This window comes from Homo sapiens, chromosome 1, assembly GCF_000001405.40.
Source record: "Homo sapiens chromosome 1, GRCh38.p14 Primary Assembly".
NCBI classification, from domain to species: Eukaryota; Metazoa; Chordata; class Mammalia; order Primates; family Hominidae; genus Homo; species Homo sapiens.
The window spans coordinates 213,057,401-213,079,069 of record NC_000001.11 but is presented as its reverse complement, the minus strand read 5'-3'; the positions used below and the strand labels follow the sequence as shown (position 1 = coordinate 213,079,069).

The window sequence follows — 21,669 nt, the reverse complement described above, 5'->3', positions numbered from 1 at the left end:
ATATATACTGTTATATAAAACCAGGTTACAAAATCATACATAGCAAGATTCCATTTTTGAGGTTTCTATACATAGATGGGTAAAAAGGCATATACATATTAATAAGCACAAAAATACACCATACACACACACTGATACAGAGTCTAGAATAATATGCCAAAATATTATACTATCTAGGAGATGGTATTATTGCTGAATTTCTCTTTACGTTTTAAGTATTTTTCTGTACCACCTGAGTTATTTGCATATACTACTTTCATAACCTGAAAAAAAATTGTCTAGTTTGAAAAATAAATGTGCATATACCTTGACTCTGCAATTACATATGCAGAAATTGGTTGCAAAAAGTAATAGGATAAAATGTTCTGGCCCGGGCACAGTGGCTCATGCCTGTAATCCCAGCACTTTGGGAGGTCAAGGCGGGCGGACCACTTGAGGTCAGTAGTTTGAGACCAGCCTGGCCAACATGGTGAAACCTCATCTCTACTAAAAATACAAAAATTAGCCAGGTGTGGTGGCAGACGCCTGTAATCCCAACTACTCAGGAGGCTGAGGCGGGAGAATCACTTGAACCCAGGAGGTGGAGGCTGCAGTAAGCCAAGATCGTGCCACTATACTCCAGCCTAGGTGACAGAATGAGACTCCATTTCAAAAAAATTCTGTCCATATAAGAACATTTACGTTAGAGTTATAGAAAAAAAACATGAATATTCTATACTTCCAGTCAAAATCCAGACAGGGGACAGAAACTACACCAATTATTTTGACACAGAAACTTTAATATAAAATACTGTTACCTAGGTATTTGAAAACTGATGAGGCAAAAAAAAAAAAAAAAGAATACTAAGGTATCAAAAAGAAGTTGCAAGAAGCAAATACTAGAAAACCACACCATTCATACTATAAGCAAAGTGTCAGGGAAACATACAAAATGAGACTTAATTTAAAAAAAGAAAGAATTTTAAAACTATAAGAATAACTGAATATCACCTTTTCTTATGTTCCTACAGGGTTTTTTATTTGGTTGGTTGGAACTGAAGTTGTTTTGTTTCATAGATAGGAAGAGTAAATATATTCTGGGTACACAAAACTATAACAAGAACAAGAAAAGACAATTTCAAGTGCTGTTGAACAATATGAATTATCTCAATAAGTAAAAGGGCTTCTGACTTCATAGTGTAGTTATGTTAGAGTTCAGTATATATACAAAATTAATTATTTTTTTAAATTACAATTTCAAAATAATCACTTACCAAACACTATTCCTTTAGCAAATGGAGGAAACAACTCTGAATGTCGGAATAAGTTTTTGTGAATTTGCCATAGTTCTTTGTGTAGTTTCTTAAAATCACTGTATCTCTTCCATACAATTATCTAGAGAGAAAAAAATTAAACATGTATCTCATAACCATTTAGGTTCAGATATCTGAACAACAAATAATCCTTTCATTAAAGTGTTCAAAATTGTCATGCAAAGGCAAACACATGTCCTAAACAATATGATTAACTGACTGAAATTAACTAATAATATTTGCTTTAAAAATATAAGGCAGATTCCTGCTGACCAGGAAAATAATATAAAATAAAATAAAGTAAAAATATATTACATATAAAGCGGCAATTCTTCCTCAAACTATTCTGTTTTGGTTTCAAATTTTCATTTTAAACAAGTATGGTTTTATTCATACTGGAAAAATATTCAACCCAGTATGGAGAAGATTTATACTATATAAAATGTCACTTCATCTCTTCAAAAACCAATTACAATTGGCCTGCAAATGAGTTAGATGTCAAAACATGTATCCTTTCTCAAAATAATGTATTTATAAAGACAAAATAATTAATTTAGGCAATTTTTAAACAAAAGTACATACTCGGTATTTGCCTAAAAGGATAAACTGGCCGGGCGCAGTGGTTCACGCCTATAATCCCAGCACTCTGGGAGGCCAAGGCAGGTGGATCACCTGAGCTCAGGAGTTCAAGACCAGCCTGGCCAACATGGTGAAACCCCATCTCTACTGAAAATATAAAAACTAGCAGGGTGTGGTGGTGGACGCCTGTAATCCCAGCTACTCGGGGGGCTGAGGCAGGAGAACTGCTTAAACCCAGGAGACAGAGGTTGCAGTGAGCCGACACAGTGCCACTGCACTCCAGCCTCAGCAACAGAGTAAGACTCTTGTCTCAAAAAAAAAAAAAAGGATAAACTGAGTAACACTGAAGAAGTAGCTATGCAGCAAGCAATTAACATGGACTTTCATGTCATAAATCTTAATTCACACTAGTAATAAGATGTCTGCAGGCAAGCTGAATCCTGACCAGAACATCATTAAAATTAGTATATTTTTAAAAAACAAAATATCATCTAGATTAGACGACATGTAAAAAAGTGTGTTTTCCTTCATTAGTCTGAATTATTATTTAACCTTACTCAGATTATATCTAAAAAAAAAAACCACTTTGTAAAGAAAAAGGATTTGAAACATGGCCTTGATATCACAGATTCAGCCCCTCAATCTCTAGAAAATAGAGTAAAATTGAGTTTTAAATCCCATTACTTCAGATACTGGGGTCTTCTGAAAAACTTAATCATCTCAGTTCTAACAAAGTTTTCTAACAAGTTTTTCATATACAATAGAGTATAATGCTAATGAGCAAATAACAGGTCAAGCAGGTAACCAGGTGTGATTTAAGAGATTCCTGCCAAAAAACCTACCCTCTGTATGTATAAAACTCTTCAGCAAACTTTTTCATGCTGCCAAAAATTCTACCTTAATTAATGTTTATTGTTTTTAATACAGTTATAATCCTAGGAGGCTAGGCAGACTATAATATGAATTAATTTTTAAAAACTGCTTCCTCCTGATGCTTCCCTTGTTCCTCCTGATGTTCCCTGTTCATTTACTCAACAACAAAAAGAGTCACCAAACAAATATTTCTATGGCCCTACTTTCCACTAAGCATCATATTCTTACAAAGTATGAAGAGAAGGGAAATACAGGTCCTGCCTTCAAAGAGTTCACAGTCTAGTTAGGAAGAATAAGCCAACACATCACAAGACAACATCATCATAAGACGGCTTGAAAAATGCTGAGAGGGGCAGTCCAAGAGTGCTGTAGATGTAGTACCTAAATCAGCCTTGTATGTCTGAGAAGGCTTCACAAAAAGTACTACCTTAGAGAGTCCTGAAGGGAAGTGGTCAGTAGACTGACAAAAATAAAATAAAAGGGGAGGGCACCGGGGGTGAAGTTTCTAAAAGAAGAGTGAGATGCTAAGTATGTATTACTAAATGAAGACAATTAATTTAGGCAATTTTTAAACAAAAGTACATACTCAGTATTTGCCTAAAATGATAAATAAACTGAAGAACACTGAAGAATAAATAGCTGTGTAGCAAGTTTTGCTACAGAATGGTGGTGCCATGCCCTGAAGTGAACACTAAGGAAGCAGCAGCAGTTCTGAGGCAAGAAAGAGGTTCAATTTTCAACACATTTGACTTAGGAGCTCGTGAGGGAGCTGCTTGGAGCTGTTCAGTGAGATAGGTTTAGGGTTGAAGAGCAAAAACTGAGCAGGATCTATTAGCTTGTAGATTAAAAGATCAGTAGCAGATAGGCAGTAATCACTCAGGAAAGGTTTCTCAGCATACGCAGTGAGATGTGAGGATTCTAACAATGAAATGATGGGAACAAAAAATTGTTATTTTTATATTTTAAAAATATATCAAATTACAATCATACGACATTGCCAAGGAATTAAAGGAGAAATGGTTGATGGGCTTATGTAAGCAGTACCTTATATAAGGTAAATGTCATTATAAACTGGACATTACGTAAGGTTAAGGTCATTATGACCTGGACATGAGTTATTCAAAAGACTGTAGCTCATGGAAACAATTAGATTTGCAGATAAAATTTTTATTCTAGGCCGGGCGTGGTGGCTCACGCCTGTAATCCCAGCACTTTGGGAGGCCAAGGCGGGCGGATCATGAGGTCAGGAGATTGAGACCATCCTGGCTAACACAATGAAACCCCATCTCTACAAAAAATACAAAAAATTAGCTGGACGTGGTGGTGGGTGCCTGAAGTCCCAGCACTAGGGAGGCTGAGGCAGGAGAACGGCATGAACCCGGGAGGCGGAGTTTGCAGTGAGCTGAGATCATGCCACTGCACTCCAGCCTGGGTGACAGAGCGAGACTCCGTAAAAAAAAAAAAAAAAAAAAAAAAAAAAAATTTATTCTAGTTAAGTCATTTTTAAATACTGCAAGACAAACTTAAGGAGCAAAATTTAACAATTTAATCATAATAATTATTAAAATACCATGGTATATGAACCAGTAGATAGTCTGTCAGAGCAAGAATTAGAACCCCCCAGGTGAGAATCTGTGTTTCTTCACCATGCCCTAATTTATTCAATCCTATATTCCTTCTTCTCAACTCTAGGGCTGCAGAACCAAAATACCTAACAGCATCGCAAAATGTCACATCCACTGCCTCCTTTTCTTCTTACTCCTTCTAAGTTCTGAGGTTTCCAGAAATCTTCAAAATACAAAAGTGAACAAAGATATACTTCCACTACAACAGCAAGTACTGATGTTCATATCTGGACTACACAAAGTCCTCAGAGACACATTTAGAAATTATTTTCTCTAATTAATGTTCAATACTTTCCCATTGAAAAAATAGGTCTATAACAACCTCTTTCTTTATTGAACCAAGTCTCCATAAGTTTCTTATTTATTAAAGTCACTCTGAAGAAAATGTCTCAATGAAATATTAATTCAGTGACAACCATATAAAACATACAAATAAAAGCTTAATTTTAAAAACATTCCCTTAAATATTTTCTACATAAATGTTTCCTTTTCAGATAATTACACTTAATAACACCAAAAACTTTTTAGATTCCTGTATTTTACAGAACCACCAATTGAATTAACTTTGTCCTTTTCACGCTCACATAGTTTTAATATTTAAAATTTGCTGGATTATCTCTTCTTACAACCAACATCACTACCACACTATTTGCTTATGGATTTTATTTTCCCTCTTTTCAAGAGCCTTTCCTTTCCCGATATATTTCTGAGTGTGTACCTATTTTCTAAAATGATTTTTTCTCACGCTTGTAATCACAGCATTTTGGGAGGCCGAGATGAGCAGATCGCCTGAGGTCAGGAGTTTGAGACCTGCCTGGCCAACATGGTAAAACCCCGTCTCTACTAAAAATACAAAAATCAGCCAGGTGTGGTGGTGGGCACCTGTAGTCCCAGCTATTCAGGAGGCTGAGGCAGGAGAATCACTTGAGCCCGGGAGGCCGAGGTTGCAGTGAGCCAAGATCATGCCACTGCACTCCAGTCTGGGTGACAGAGCGAGACTCCATCTCAAGAAATAAATAAATAATATAAATAATAAATAAATAATAAAACTATTTTTTAAAAAAGGATTTAAAAGTTAGAGATTTCTGACATAATACATAGAAAGTCCTGTTTCAGTTCTTTTCCTTTCCCAAATTTCACCAGTGAAATATCCTACCTGTAGAGAGAAACAGGTACAGGTTAATTTGTTTAAAAAAGGGTGAGGGGGAGCAAAACCATCTCTTCTTCACTTTTCTGCTGTCTATTCATGTTCTACACAATCTACTGAATGACAGGCCACAGATCTTTTAGCATTCTTAGGAAGAAAACACTGATGTGGTGGCATGTGCCAAGGTATATATAAAAGAAAAACAACAAAATTTCTCCTATTTTATAAGGCTAGCGTATTACTAGCCCTACATTTTGTTAAACTATCAGTACATCTAGTCCTCAATAGCCCTTGTGAAGCTTTACTATATAGTCTAAAGCAGTAACAAATGAATAAGTTAATGGAGAGGGAAAGTGAAAGGAAGTGAAAAACAAACTCTAAGTGGTGAATTCCTCTCCCAAATGAGAATTCTAATGTTTAAATACACTAAGTGGGAAACTAAAAAAAGTACTGTTATAATTTCAAGATTATTCTATATTTTAAGAAGCCAACTAAATAGAAAACTTTTAAAAATTTATACCACTTCTAACAAAGAACCATGCAATTGTCTAACTAAAAGACACTTACAAGAGTTTTCAGATGAATGGTTCACCAACAGTTGTTATTATAAAAGAGTTTTCCCGAAAAAAGGACTAAGAAAATGGCAGAGAGTATGTTCATGGATAGGTTGGTTCAGGATTCTCCCTGGAAAATGGGAACATCAAGCTACAAACTACAGCACAGCAATCAGACAATGCATTCAAAGGAAATACACCCATTTTCAATTTTAAGAGTTGTAAACTAGAAATCTAAAGAATAGTTCACACTCATCAATTGATACAAGTAAAGACAGAAAAGTACTTTAATCAATGGTGCAAATTACTTTCACTGATACATATATATGTATGTATACATTTTTTTCTTTCAAAATAACAATATTACAATATTCTTTCTGTTTCCTGGTAGGGAATGAATTGTCTTAAAACCCATCAGGAAAATAGTATTAAATCTATTTTTTTTTTTTTTTGAGACAGAGTCTCACTCTGTTGCTCAGGCTGGAGTGCAGTGGTGCAATCTCAGCTCACTGCAACCTCTGCCTCCCAGGTTCAAGCAGTTCTCCTACCTCAGCCTCCCAAGTAGATGGGATTACAGGTGCCTGCCACCATGCCCAGCTAATTTTTGTATAAAAATATATCTGTTTTAAATCATAGGACAAAAACAACTATGAAATCAGACATAGCCAGAAATGATAATGTATAAAATTTAAATATTATCTAAACCTGGGGCCATACACTCATATCAACCAGTACCAAACAGTCACCTTAAATGTATGAATCAAGCCAGGTATTTTCTGTAGAGTAGTGGGACCCGTGGCTAAACAGAAACAACCTACCACCCAAAGACATTCATATTTAATTGTGGAAAAAAAAAAAACAATACTGTTGCAGAATCAGGACTGTAAACTTAAAGTATCTGTTTTAAACACATTAGGGAGGCGGAAAAAATCCTGATATATGTCCTTCTAGTCTTAGTGAAATTGAGCAGGGACTAAAATGAAAATAAATCAAGAAACATTCAAAGCAGCAAGCTCCTCAGTAAGGATTCCTAAAGATACACAACAAGCACAAAGTAAATACAAATAGAGAATTCCACAATTTTAAGCAAAACATAACAGGCTGGTACCATTATAGAAAGAAGGAAAAAAAATGAAAAAATGCACAGAAGAATCTGCAAAAGAACTTACTAACTTAAAGTTTAAAAAAAAAGAAATATCTATGCCTAAAGCAGTTTTCCAAGATGTCAACATGTCAATTCAATCTAAAAGTGAAAGTAGGCAGAGACCCATAATTTACTGTTAGAATCTTTAAAATAAATATTAGTTACCAAATACTTTTTATTACACAGGCATTATGATCTTGAAATGGGTAAATAGGGGCCCTTAAGTGATACTGAAATCTTGTAAACACTAGTTACCAGAACAATGATCACTTAGTAAACAGCACCATAATTCATTAAATTCTTATTTATATAACTTAACACCTACTAAAACTTAACAATTACTTAGTAGGTCTCAAATAGGACACTTCAGCTACTGTTTTGTGAAATGAAGACAATCTTCACGCAAACATATAAAGACTGATGTACAGGCCAGGCACAGTGGCTCACGTCTGTAATCCCAGCACTTTGGGAGGCTGAGGCAGGTGGATCACCTGAGGTCAGGAATTCGAGACCAGCCTGGCCAACGTGGTAAAACCCCATCTCTACTAAAAATACAAAAATAGCTGAGTGTGGTGGCAGATGCCTGTAATTCCAGCTACTCGGGAGGCAGAGGCAGGAGAATCACTTGAACCCAGGAGGCAGAGGTTGCAGTGAGCCGAGATTGCGCCACTGCACTCCAGCCTGAGCAACAGGAGCGAAACTCCGTCTCAAAAAAAAGAGGTTGATGTACAAATGATTCAGGCAATTTCCTCAAAAAAGCATTTAGTTAAATTTTTATCAAATACATAAAATAAAATCTTCATATAAATGTTACCTCCTGGACATCCTCTGGATTTCTTCGTGAAACAACCTAAAACAAAACATACATAGAAATCTCTAATCATTATCAAAATTTAAGATTTCATATTTGTATAATTAACTTCCAATAGTATTTGTATGAAAAATTCAATTTGCTTAAAAAAATAAACACTATATCATTTATCCAAAACTCAGCTATATAATAACTTCACTATCTGAAATTCATACTGTTAAATCAAGTTTAACCTAAAGTTACCTCCCTTAGGCTACATATTTTAAGTTTGGCCTAAAAGTTTCTCTGTACATAATGAAAGAGAAATAGATATGTAAATAGATGTGTAAAGACTGTAACCTACTCTGGCGCCAATCACCAAGTTTTGGCCAAAGAGAGCCAACTGTTCAAACAGTGTTCAAATAAGGCAAATGCTTAGTTGGAACCAATACAGCTGTTTCAGTTTCCTTTTCTGTACATCACTTTCCTTTTTCTGTCCATAAATCTTCCACCACATGGTTGCGCTGGAGTCTCTCTGGACCTACACTGGCTGAGGAGGCTGACCAATTTGTGAATCATTCTTTGCTCAATTAAACTCTGTTAAATTTAATTTGGCTAAAAATGTTATTTTAACAATACTAAAAATTAAGCAAAAAAACAGCTAAAAGTAAGTCCACATGCTAAAGTTCATATATTCACTACATTCTTAAGAAAAAGCATCTGGCCTTTACTCTTACTTAATTAACATAATTCTAACAAGTTTGTTCACATCTCCCCTTCCCAGCAAGCCTATATACAAATTAGAAGCATAAAAAGCAGCTGCACTTAGGCAAAGTGTACAAGGGATCTCCCTACATTATTTCTTACAACTGTATATGAATCTACAATTAGCACAATAAAACTTTCAATTAAAAAAAAGCAGCTACAATGCTCGGACACAACATGTGAGAAGTATGAGAAGTAATCACTGGCTACCTATGATGAAGAAAACAAAAGTAATATAAATTATTTACAAACATTCAGGGACAAATAATCCTTCTATCAATACTCCCTAAGCAAAGAGGAAAAGGAGAGATTCCTTCAGACTTCCCTGATGACAAAGGCCAAAAAGTCTAACACCAGGTAAAAAGATTTTTTTCACAAAACTTTTGAAAAGGCTAGGTGTTTAAATCATCAAACAGCATCCTAAATTAGGAAAATCTCACATTAGATTACATAATACGGTACCATCCATGTAAGTGTCAAATTAACGGTTTTGAAGCTACAATGGTGTATTTTGCAAAAATAAACAAAAAGATAAATCAGGCTGTTCTGCCTATGGAGTAGCCATTCTTTATTCCCTTACTTTCTTAATAAACTTGCTTTCACTTTAAAAAAAATTTTAAAAAAAGATAAATCAAACACACATTAAAATGGTTGCCTAGGAGTGTGAGGAAGAAAAGGGTCTTTGATATCTAATGACAATACACCATGAACTAGGGATTATAATCCATTCAGCAACACCCCTAAAGTCCAAAATAAGAACAAAAAATAGAGGATGTAAAGTCAGACAAACCTTGGTTCAAATTACAGTTCCTCTTACAGGTTTGATCTCATCGATAAAACGGAGATAATACTAACTGCCTGGCCTGGCTGTTGTGAACAACAAATAAGGACACAGCAAGAACTCTATAATTTAAAAGTTTCCTGTCCCCTACCAGACAGGTTAACCATTGTAAAAGGTCCCACCTAAGAATTCCAGAGAACAAATATCTTGCACTCTATTCTCCAACTTTCAGAATATATAAACTTGGTGAAATCTTGTAGTAATTGTCATTAATTTATACTACAGTGCTATGCAATAGAACTTTCTGTGATAACGGAAAAAAAGGTTCTCTATTTGCAGTGTTCAACACAGCCACCACTAGCCACATGTGTGTGGCTACTGAGCCACTGAAATATGGCTACTTTGAGAAACTACATTAATTTTATTTCATTTAAATTAATTCAAAAAAATTTTTGTATTAAAGAGACAGGGTCTCACTCTGTCACCTAGGCTAGAGTGCCATGGCATGATCATAGCTCACTGCAGCCTCAAACTCCTGGACTCAACTGATCCTCCCACCTCAGCCTCTTGTGTAGCTGGAACTATAGGCACACCACAGTCGGCATACACACACACACACACACACACACACACACACACACACACATATATACACTTTTTTTTTTTTTTGGTAGAGATGGGGGTCTCCCTATGTTGCCCAGGCTGCTCTCAAATTCCTGGGATCAAGCAATCCTCCCGCCTCAGCCTCCCACAGTGCTAGGATTATAAGTGAGAACCACTGTAAGCCTTAATTTAAATTTAAATCAAAATAGCTACATGTGGTTAATGGCTACCAAATTAGACAACACAGATTCAGTATAAGAGACTATAACAGGTAACTAACAACTATACATTATTCAAATCTTTGATTTTAGCTATTACTTTCAAATACCAGCCTGTCCCCTCACACACCTTTCCAAAAGTATAGTATTTCACATAGTATGACTAATTTTGCTTCTTATAAGTGTTTCTTTTTTTTTTTTTTTTTTTTTTTTTTGAGACAGAGTCTTGCTCTGTCACCCAAGCTGGAGTGCAGTGGCGCGATCTTGGCTCACTGCAACCTCCACCTCCTGTGTTCAAGTGATTCTCCTGCCTCAGCCTCCCGAGTACCTGGGACTACAGGCATGTGCTACCATGCCCAGCGAATTTTTGTATTTTTAGTAGAGACAAGGTTTCACCATGTTGGCCAGGATGGTCTCAATCTCTTGACCTCGTGATCTGCCCGTCTCAGCCTCCCAAAGTGCTGGGATTACAGGCGTGAGCCACTGCGCCCCGCCGTTCTTACATTTTTATGAAATGTATTGAGAAGAAAAGTCATGGATAACCAATCCACTAATAATCCACCCCCCAAAAATAGCACATGATCACTCACAGCAAGGTCTATTCAAATGTACTTTAAATTTCACAATTTATGTTTTTCTCAGCTTAATACATTTCCTGAATTTATAAATATATTCAGATATCTTAAGTATTTTAAATAATCTTCCTTAATATAAGCAAATGATCTTTTTGAGACAGAATAACTTATTTCTTAGTTTGGTGTACATATTAGAAGTACCACATTTTGGTTTTCTTCAGATGAGCCAGTCCTGGAAATCAAATACATGTGTACTGCATAAACAAAAACACATTAGCCATCCCCTAACAATAGCCACAATATTAAAACCATCTTATCAGAAATAACCAATTTGATTATTATTTCTCAGCCGTCCTCTTAGTGGTTTACATACATCTATGTGCTGGATTACAATGGTGAGCAAGTCCCTTTCCTCCTGGAGCTCATAGTCTAGTGGTACACAGTGGTGGGGTGGGAGGGGAGTGCAGAGTGAAGGAGGGTGTATTTCCCAAACATATTTCCATACCTCAGATAACAGTAGAGTGCTAAGCAAAAGATTGGGAAACACTTCATCCTAGATCCTTCCCATGACACTGAATCCTCACTGTGCAGAGCAAAGTGGCATCCCAAAAGCAGTCAACCAGTCATGGTTTAGTGATGTAAGGCTCTTAATGTCTTCATGATAATAAAAGTGAAACTGACCCAATGGTCCCACGGACAGTTTTTTTGGATAAACATGGAAACTGACCCTTCTGGTATTAAAGCTTGAAACTTAACATTTGTTTTATCAGAGTTCCTTCTTCAGGAAAGGGCCCTCAGGCCTCTCAAAAAGTATTAATATTGTGAACCCCGAATATCTGAGACAGGTCTTAGTTACTTTAGAAAGTTCATTTTGCTAAGGTTGAGGATCCGCACCGGTAACACAGCCTCAGGAGATCCTGACAACATGTGCCCAAGGTGGTAGGGGCACAGCTTGATTTTATACATTTTAGGGAGACATAAGACATGAATAAATACGTGTAAGATGTACACTGGTTCAGTCCAGAAAGGTGGGACAACTCGACGTGGGGAGGGGGCTTTCAGGTCACAGGTAGTTAAAAGACAAATGGCTGTATCCTTTTGAGTTTCTGATTCGCTTCTCCAAATGAGGCAATCTGGTATGTATTAATGGTTATCTCAGTGAGCCGAGGGGTGACTTTGAAGAGAATGGGAGGCAGGTTGGCCCTAAGCAGTTCCCAACTTGACTTTCACCTTTAGCTTAGTTATTTGGGGGCCTCAAGATTTATTTTCCTTTTACAATATTAAATAAACTGAAATTCACCAGATCACTGCATCCAAACAATGAGATGCCAGACCTCTCATCCATCACAATTGCTTCCTTAACCCTCTGTAGTTCCTGTTTTCCCATAGATAATCACATTTTCTCCCTGCTATATAAACTCCTAATTTTAGTCAGTCAGGGAAATGGATCTGAGACATCTCCTTGACTGCAACACCTGATTAAAGCCGGCTTCCTTAGCAATACTCATTGTCTCAGAGATTGCTTTCTGTGTGACAAGCAGCAGGACCTAGACGGAACCCCTGGTGTTTTGGTAACAACAGTAACTCATGATTATTATGCAATATACAGAAAATCAAAGTTGAAGTATACTTAAACTACCTAAGTGAAGGTCTTTAATTTTAGGCTTACAAAAGGAACTACTCTGTACCCACCAAATACTTCACAGTGAAGGAGGAAATTTAGACAGGGTTTGGAAAATCAAATCAAAAGCTACTTAGGTATTACCTGACAAGCCTAAAGCTTAGTGAAAACTGTGTCTTAAAAGCACAGGGTTATACTTCCCTGATTCTCTTTCCTCTTTGGTGCTTTTGCTTCTCTTTTGTAGGTTATTCTTCATCCTTCTGCCCCCTGGTATTCTGTGAACACTCCAAGAATTGTTTTAAACTCTTGTTTTTTAGCCTCCTTTTTATTATTAACAGTCTATATCTGTGCTAATACTGTTCAAGGCACTGCGCTAGGCATAGGGAAAATTTGACTCTGTACATTTACATTTGCGAAGAATTTTATATTAATGAATCACTTCATTTTCTCAACAACCTATGAGTTAGGCAGGAGTAGCTATTATGACTTCCCCTTTTACAGATAAGAAAACAAGGTGGTTCAGAGTCCTGTCTAAAGCCACATGGCTATTCACCTTCAAATTTAGAATGAGATCCTCGACTGTCTGACTCCTGGTCTACTGCTCTTTCCACTCTATTACACTGCCTCCCTCTATTTATCTGCGGTATTTTCAGCAATAATGAAGTTTACTTATTTCCATAAAATTCCATCGCCATTAGGTTTTTGTTTATTTCACCTACTCATTCAACACATATTAGTGCCTACTCTGCTGCCAGGTACTGCAGTACAATGGAGAATATACTAGGTCTGATTCCTACGCAACTGCATTATAAAAATACAATCACTTCCCAAATACATTACCAACTTCAACCACTTGGTACCCCACTATTAGGGATTCAGTATTCCCGAATGTGTCATCTCATTTAAATACTTCACAAATGTGTCCCCCAAAACGGAAACGAAAACCACAAAATGGCTAGGATAATGTGAATTGAGTGCAAAAATCCATGAGTAACAATTCTTTCTGTGTAATTATCTTCCGTGACTGAAAAGTTAATGAAAAATAAGAGTATCAATCAGAAATCTGAGGGAAGAATATAACCATACTGACAATAAATAAAACTGAGCTAGCAACTCAGTAATTTTTCTCTGGATAAATTTCAAGAGAGTTTGTCACAAAGTTCAACCAATAAATTCCACAAAAGTTGGAATTTAAAACAGTGACTGTTTTCATTAAAAGTTCACAAAGGGCCAGACACGATGGCTCAAGCCTGTAATCCCAGCACTTTGGGAGGCCGAGGAGGGTGGATCACGAGGTCAGGAGTTCGAGACCAGCCTGGCCAAGATGGTGAAATCCCATCTCTACTAAAAATACAAAACTTAGCCAGGCACGGTAGCAGACGTCTGTAATCCCAGCTACTCGGGAGGCTGAGGCAGGAGAATCACTTGAACCCAGGAGGCAGAGGTTGCAGTGAGCCAAGATCGCGCCACTGCATTCCAACCTGGGCAACGGAGCAAGACTCTGTCTCAAAAAAAAAAAAAAAAAAAAGGCCGGGCACGGTGGCTCACGCCTGTAATCCCAGCACTTTGGGAGGCCGAGGCGGGTGGATCACAAGGTCAGGAGATCAAGACCATCCTGGCTAACACGGTGAAACCCTGTCTCTATTAAAAATACAAAGTTAGCCAGGCGTGGTGGCAGGTGCCTGTAGTCCCAGTTACTCGGGAGGCTGAGGCAGGAGAATGGCATGAACCCAGGAGGCAGAGCCTGCAGTGAGCCGAGATCACGCCACTGCACTCCAGCCTGGGCAATAGAGCAAGACTCCATCTCAAAAAAAAAAAAAAAAAAAGTTCACAAAGGCCAGGCGCAGTGGCTCACACCTGTAATCTCAGCACTTTGGGAGGCCCAGGCAGGAGGATCACCTGAGGTCAGGAATTCAAGAACAGCCTGACCAACATGGTGAAACCCCATCTCTACTAAAAATACAAAAATTAGCTAGGCTTTGTGGCATCCACCTATAATCCCAGCTACTAGGGAGACTGAGGCAGGAGAATCGCTTGAACCCGGGAGGTGGAGGTTACAGTGAGCTGAGATTGCGCCATTGTACTCCAGCCTGGGCAACAAGAGTGAAACAACCCCTCAAAAAAAAAAAAAAAAGTTCACAAATTTGGCCGGGCCCAGTGGCTCACGCCTATAATCCCAACACTTTGGGAGGCCAAGGCAGGTGGATCACCTGAGGTCACAAGTTCAAGACTAACCTGGCCAACATGGTGAAACCCCGCCTCTACCAAAAATACAAAAATGAGCCGGGTGTGGTGGCATGTGCCTGTAGTCCCAACTACTCAGGAGGCTGAGGCACTAAAACAGTTCGAACCAGAGAGGCGGAGGTTGCAGAGAGCCAAGATCACGCCATTGCACTCCAGCCTGGGTGACCAAGTGAAACTCCGTCTCAAAAAAAATAAATAAAAATAAAAATAAAGTTCAGAAATTTCCACTGCAAGCATTAACTGCCACTGATTCAGTTAGTACTACCTATATATCTTGAAATGCTTCTTGCTTTTTAGAAATTTATCACCAACTCATCTTAAAAAGTATTACCTTACACTCTACTAAAAATACAAAAAAAAAAGTATTACCCTACAGCAGTGCTTCACAAAACATGTTACATGGAATACCAGTATTCTTTAAAATCAGTGATCTCACAGGAAGGGCTTAATAATCAATTCAATTTACCTCTTTTTAAGAAGGAATGTTGTTTACAGCAGAATTCTTCAAACCCTTTAATACATTAATATGCCTAGTAAATCCCCAAAAGGAAGATACATAGTATTTCCCAAAGACATCTAGCCACTCAATTTTTTATTTTTATGTTATTTATTATTATCATCCTCATTATTTATTTAGTACAACACCTACTAAAATCTGAAGCACTAGAGAAATACTACCACAATTTCTGTAGTCTATCTGCCTCTGTTCATGAACAGCAAATTATGAATTTAGAAAAACAATGTCTCACAGCAAAAGTAACTATCTCTTATTGTGCTAAGAAATTAAATACTCTACTTCATTCAATAATCACTACAACCATGCTTGGTAAGATGAGATAACCAAAGACCTAGAAAATAGACTCAATCAAATAACAGAGGCAGGACCAGATCTCACAACTCCATGACTCCAAAGTGCTCTCTCCAGGACATAAGCCAATTGGCTCTCTTCAAGATTAAAATTCCAAGTATTCAGGTAATATTCCTGACAAAATATCTCTGACAAAATGCCTATAGGCATTACAGTTAGGTAAACCCTTTGTCTTACAAGTCAACTAAAATACAGAAATTGAAGAACCACTTTGGAAAAGCAGAAAATAAACAAGGGGCTTGGAACTAAAAAGAATGGGGTCTGAATAATGGTGTTGGCACTGCCCATGAACTGCTTTTTCTGCCAGCTCAGTACTAAAACAAAGTAAAAACAAAGAAAAGACCCAAAGTCAGCCCCCTTGCCTATTCTGAAAACAAAGATCAGACTGTGAGGCTTGGCCTAGGTCAGTTCCATAATAATCAACAGGTCACATTGCCACTGGGTCCCTGAAATCCTTTCCAGTATGCTAACTTATTCTATCTACTTCTTAATAAATATTACCATGTTTCCTTAAAAGTCAGGTCAAAAGCACTCTCTTGCCCGGATGCGATGGCTCACGCCTGTAATCCCAGCACCTTGGGAGGCCGAGGCTGGCGGATCACAAGGTCAAGAATGAGACCATCCTGGCCAACATGGTGAAACCCTGTCTCTACTAAAAATACAAAAATTAGCTGGGTGTGGTGGGGCTCGCCTGTAGTCCCAGCTGCTCGAGAGACTGAGGCAGGAGAATACCTTGAACCCGGGAGGCAGAGGTTGCAGAGAGCCAAGATCGCACCACTGTACTCCAGCCTGGTGACAGAGCGAGACTCCGCCCCAAAAAAAAAAAGATTCAAAAGCACTCTCTTATCTGATTATCACCATAATGATGATTAGAAATCACTCTGTTAACTCAGACATATACAAAAAGCTGTATTTTTTGTTAAGATTAACAAAGAGTAGCTACAGGTGGAATATCCTTTTTCCAAAATGCATGAGACAAGAAGTGTTTCAGATTTTGTATTTTTTTTGGATTTTGGAATATTTGCACATACATGAAATATATTGGGGACATGACCCAAGACTAAACACAAAATTCATTTGTTTCATATATACCTTTATATACAGAGCCTGAAAGTAATTTTATACAGTATTTTTAATAATTGTGTGCATGACTGCAACCTATCACATGAGGTCAAGTGTGAAATTTTATACCTGTAGCATCATTTGACACTCAAAAAGTTTTAGATTTTGGAGCATTTTGGATTTCAAACTTTCAGAATAGGGATGCTAACCTGTACTAGAAAACAAAACTACAAAAATTATTCAAACTTATAGTATTTCCTAGGTTAAAAAAAAAGATAAAATAAGCCCCTTTAGAAACTAGTATTGATAAGAAGTTAAACATAAAATTTAAGAAGCTACTTTTATAAGCAAAGTATTGTAATCAAGTCTTCTGAGGGCTACTTCACTATCACTGTTCAGCTGCTAGTTAAGGGTAGCAGAGCTAAGAAGAAAAAGTGACAAAATTAATACTAGTAATTACACTAAGTGTCAAGGTACAAATAATCAAACATGGAAAACATGTCCACTCTTTTCATTTTTCAAAGATATGAATCTCTGAATGTGGGACAGGAATAATATGCAGAAATGGAAGGCTACACTATTCTGAACATTTCTCCTTGTGGTGATTAGGTATACCAAGTGGCACATTCATCAATATAATGCATGCATTCCTGATTTTCAGATATTTAAAATCCATACTTTCATGTTAACATACTGACATATTTAAACTGGACTTCATACATACAAAAAAAAAAAAACACCCAAGTCTTGCAGGAAAAGTAGGTCAAAGCACCCAGCTCACATAGGCAATTGTTACCTTACCAACTCAACCTCCCTTTCATGACCACCTGCACCTGAGTTCTTCTCTCCCGCTCTTCCCTGCAGAGCCACAGGTGGCACTGGTTGGCAAGAATATTTGGGCTGGTTATCACCCACCAGCCAGGCAGTCTGGACCCAAGAGGCAACACCTGCACAAACCATAATTAGACATTTTATAATTTTTAGTTCTCTGGAGTGAAAGAACTCCCATATAAGATAGATAAGTCAATGGGACAAATTTTAGACATTCAACTTTCTAACAAGTTTTCACGAAAGCATTATGTCAAAAGTACTACAGACTGAATGTTTGTGTTTCTCCTAAAATTCATATTGAATTTCATGTTGAAACTCTCATCCCCAATGTGATGGATGTGGATGTGAGGCCTTCCAGAGGTAATCAGGTCATGAGGGTGGGAACTTCATGATGGGATTACTGCGCTTACAAGAAAAAGACAATGATCTCTCTCAGCCATGAGACCATACAGCAAGAAGGCAGCTGTATGCAAATCAGGAAGCGGGCCCTCATCAGGTATTAAATCTGCTGGCCTCTTGGTCTTGGACTTCCCAGCCTGCAGCCTTCAGAACTGTGGGAAAGAAATGTCTATTGTTGAAGCCATCTAGTCTATAATATCTTGTTATAAAAATCCAAACTGACAAAGACAGTAAGGAGTTGTGGCTTTCTAGATTATTAAAATCCCAAAATCTCAGGGAGAGTAAAGAAGCTAAAACTGCAAGTTATCTCTAGATACTCAGTATATGTTTGCTAAAGTTATTTTTCTCACCTCAAATTTTACCAATTATAGCAGTATTCTAAACTATTTTCCAATCAAGGTTCAAGGAAAATCAAAATCCTTAATGTTAAAGAAAGTCTGCAGTTTAATATAAAATCTTAATATCTGAGACAAGTTGTCAACAAACAAGATGAAATCAGGAATGGTTTACATTTTTTAAGTTCCATTTACTGAAATTTTTGGTATATTAGAAAGTTTTCTACTAAACAATATTACAAGTTAAAAACAAAGGAACAGTAGAATAAAACTAGACTCTAGAAAACACAAGACACCTTGAGAGCCATTTTTCAAAAATTTTAAGCATAAATATATTTTACAACAAACTAATTGCCCTCCCTATCCCTATGATTATTTTGTTTGTTGAAAATATCTCCAGATTAAGCCAAAACTAAGTATTTATTCAAGAAATCTTCAAGAAGCTACTGATTTAACAACTGAAATCTAACAACTCCCACTGCCTTAATATCAGACATTTGTTAATAATCCTAACAGGTTAAGGATTTAAAATTTAGTAGGTTCTTTCTTTTTTCCTTTAAAGTGACTCAAATTATTGCTTGAAATGTGTATGACTACATATTACTTCAAAATTTAAAAGCTAACAAAACTAAAAAGTAAAACATGCAGCTGGACGCGGTGGTTCACACCGGCAATCCCAGCACTTTGGGAGGCTGAGGTGGGCGGATCACCTGAGGCCAGGAGTTAGAGACCAGCCTGGCCAACATGGCAAAACCCCGTCTCAACTAAAAATACAAAAAAATCAGCCGGGTGTGGCCAGGCGCAGTGGCTCACGCCTGTAATCCCAGCACTTTGGGAGGCCGAGGCAGGCAGATCACGAGGTCAATAGATGGAGACCATCCTGGTCAACATGATGAAACCCCATCTCTATTAAACACATAAAAATTAGCTGGGCACGGTGGCGGGTGCCTGTAGTCTCACCTACTCAGGAGGCTGAGGCAAGAGAATTGCTTGAACCCGGGAGGCAGAGGTTGCAGTGAGCCAAGATCACGCCATTGCACTCCAGCCTGGGCAACAGAGCGAGATGCGTCTCAAAAAAAAAAAATTAGCCGGTGTGGTAGCACATGCCTGTAATCCCAGCTACTCGGGAGGCTGAGGCAGGAGAATCACTTGAACCCGGAAGGCGGAGGCTGCAGTGAGCTGAGATCGCACCACTGCATTCCAGCCTGGATGACAAGTGAGACTCTGTCTCAAAATATATATATATAAATAAATAAAACATGCAGCCTCCCATACACAAAAACTCTACCGTGAAAATTATACTAGAGGATAAAAGACTGAATGCTTTCCTCCTAACATCAAGAACAAGGCAAGGAAGTCTACTCTCACCACTCCTATTCAAGACTGTGGACTACAAGTCATAGCCAGTGTAATAAAGCAAGAAAAAGAAATAAAAGACATACATTTTGGAAAGAATAAATAAAACTATGCCTTTTGGCAGACAACACAGATTGTCTATGCAGGAAAAAACCAAGAATTCTACTAAAAAGTCTTAGAACTAATAAGTCAGTTTGAAAGGTCACATGATACACCAACATGGCACATGTATACATATGTAACTAACCTGCACGTTGTGCACATGTACCCTAAAACTTAAAGTATAATTTAAAAAAAGTCACGTGATATAAAGACAACACAAAAATGAACCAAATTTCTATATATTAGCAAAGAAAAGCTGAAAACCAAGATTTTTAAAAATACTATTGACAATAGCTACAAAAATACGAAATAGTGGGGAATAAATCTAACAAAATATACAGAGAAGCAATTTGCTCAAAACCACAAAATGCTGATAGAAGAGATCAGAGAACACAAATAAACTGCAAGACATACTGTGTTCATAGATTTGAAGATTCAACATAGAAAAGATGTCCATTTTTCCCTAAAGTGATCTACAGATTTAATGCACTCCTAATCAAATCCCAAAAGGATTTTTTGTAGCTATAGATAAACTGATTCTAAAATATATATGAAAAAGCAAAGGAACTAGGGTAGTCAAAATAATTTTGAAAAAGAATAAAATTGGAGAAACAATATTGCCTAATTTTAAGATATAGTATAAAGCTATAATAATCAAGATTGTATGGTATGGAACAAAATAAGAGAATCCAGAAACAGCTTTACACATATATAGTCAATTGACTTTTGGCAAAGGAATAAAGGCAATTCAACGAAGAAAGGTTAGTCTCTTGAACAAATGGTGTTTTGTTGCAATGGGACAACCAGAGGCAAAAACAGAACCTTCACCCAAACCTTACACCTTATAAAAAAACAAAAAACAAAAAAAAAAACCTCAAAATGGATCATAGAGCAAAATATAAAATGCAAAGAAATAAGTTATCTAGAAGAAAACATTGGGAAAAATATTTGTAACCTGAGGTTAGGCAGAGATTTTAGGTATGACACTAAAAGCATGGTTCATAAAATAAAGAACTGATAAACTGGACTTCACCAAAATTACAAATTGTGCTTTGCAAAAACACTGTCTGGGTGCAGTGGCATACCTGTAGTCCTAGCTACTTGGAAGGCTGAGGTGGGTATCACTTCAGCCTAGGAGGTCGAGGCTGTAGCACACTATGATCACACCTGCGAATAAGCACTGCATTCCAGCCCTGGCAACACAGCAAGACCCCATCTCTAAAAAAAAAAAAAAAAAAAAAAAAAAGGTCAGGCGCACGTCTGTAATCCCAGCACTTTGGAAGGCCAAGACAGGCAGATTGCTTGAGACCAGGAGTTTGAGACCAGCCTGGACAACATGGTGAAACTGGGTCTCTATTTAAAAAATACAAAAATTAGCTGGGCACAGTGGCACATTCCTGTAGTCCCAGCCACTCAGGAGGCTGAGAGGTGGGAGAATTGCTTGAGCTCAGGAGGTCAAGGCTACAGTGAGCCATGATCACGCCACTGCACTCCAGCCTGGACAACAGAGGGAGACTCTGTCTCAAAGGAAAAAAAAAAAAAAAAAAAAAAAAGATACTTCAGAGAATTAAAAGATATGCTCTAGATCAGGAGAAAATATTTACAAATGTCATATCAAACCCCAAAAAAAAGATACCCAGAACATAAAGAACTCTCAAAACTCAGGAGTAAGAAACAAACAACCCAAAGAAAAAAATAGGCAAATTATCAGTCTAAAAGGCTAAATACTATATGATTCTATTTATATGACATTCTCAAAAAGACAAAAGTATAGTAGTATAGATAGATCGCTGCTTGCCAGGGTATAAGGAGTAGGGGGAAGGGTGGAGTTTTTTTAGGATGATGAAACTTCTGTTTCTTGATTATGGTGGTAGATAAATGAATTTATACTCATGTTAAGATTCA

At 37.3% G+C, this 21,669-nt stretch overlaps 1 protein-coding gene across 46 annotated transcripts in view, besides 2 other annotated features; it reads right to left on the bottom strand.

Moving 5' to 3' along the window:
• RPS6KC1 (ribosomal protein S6 kinase C1) overlaps nt 1–21,669 on the bottom strand; it is an 811,495-nt gene that overhangs the window by 783,666 nt on the left and 6,160 nt on the right. For 20 of the 46 annotated variants that reach the window (XR_007058661.1, NR_146207.2, NR_146209.2 and 17 more), the window contains exons 2-3: nt 8,029–8,064; nt 1,254–1,374 (exon numbers count right to left, since the gene is read on the bottom strand). Coding sequence is in view for 12 of the 46 variants with exons in the window: in XM_047417936.1 (XP_047273892.1) it covers nt 1,254–1,374; nt 8,029–8,064 (157 nt within the window). In the remaining 34 variants the exon portion in view is untranslated. Of the gene's footprint in view, nt 1–1,253; nt 1,375–6,083; nt 6,201–8,028; nt 8,065–17,542; nt 21,313–21,669 lie in introns of those variants that run through there. The other 26 variants (NR_146210.2, XM_047417948.1, NM_001349651.2 and 23 more) reach the window with 4 other exon arrangements.
• Nucleotides 8,330–8,629: an enhancer, noted in NCBI's record as "active region_2528". NCBI's record gives its function as "activates an Ori minimal core promoter by ATAC-STARR-seq in GM12878 lymphoblastoid cells {active_cell/tissue: GM12878}" and the evidence as "EXISTENCE:reporter gene assay evidence [ECO:0000049][PMID:35858748]".
• Nucleotides 21,140–21,299: a silencer, noted in NCBI's record as "fragment chr1:213231113-213231272 (GRCh37/hg19 assembly coordinates)". NCBI's record gives its function as "represses an EF-1alpha promoter that drives an FKBP-Casp9 reporter gene in an ReSE screen in phorbol 12-myristate 13-acetate-treated (for megakaryocytic differentiation) K562 erythroleukemia cells {active_cell/tissue: K562(+PMA)}" and the evidence as "EXISTENCE:reporter gene assay evidence [ECO:0000049][PMID:32094911]".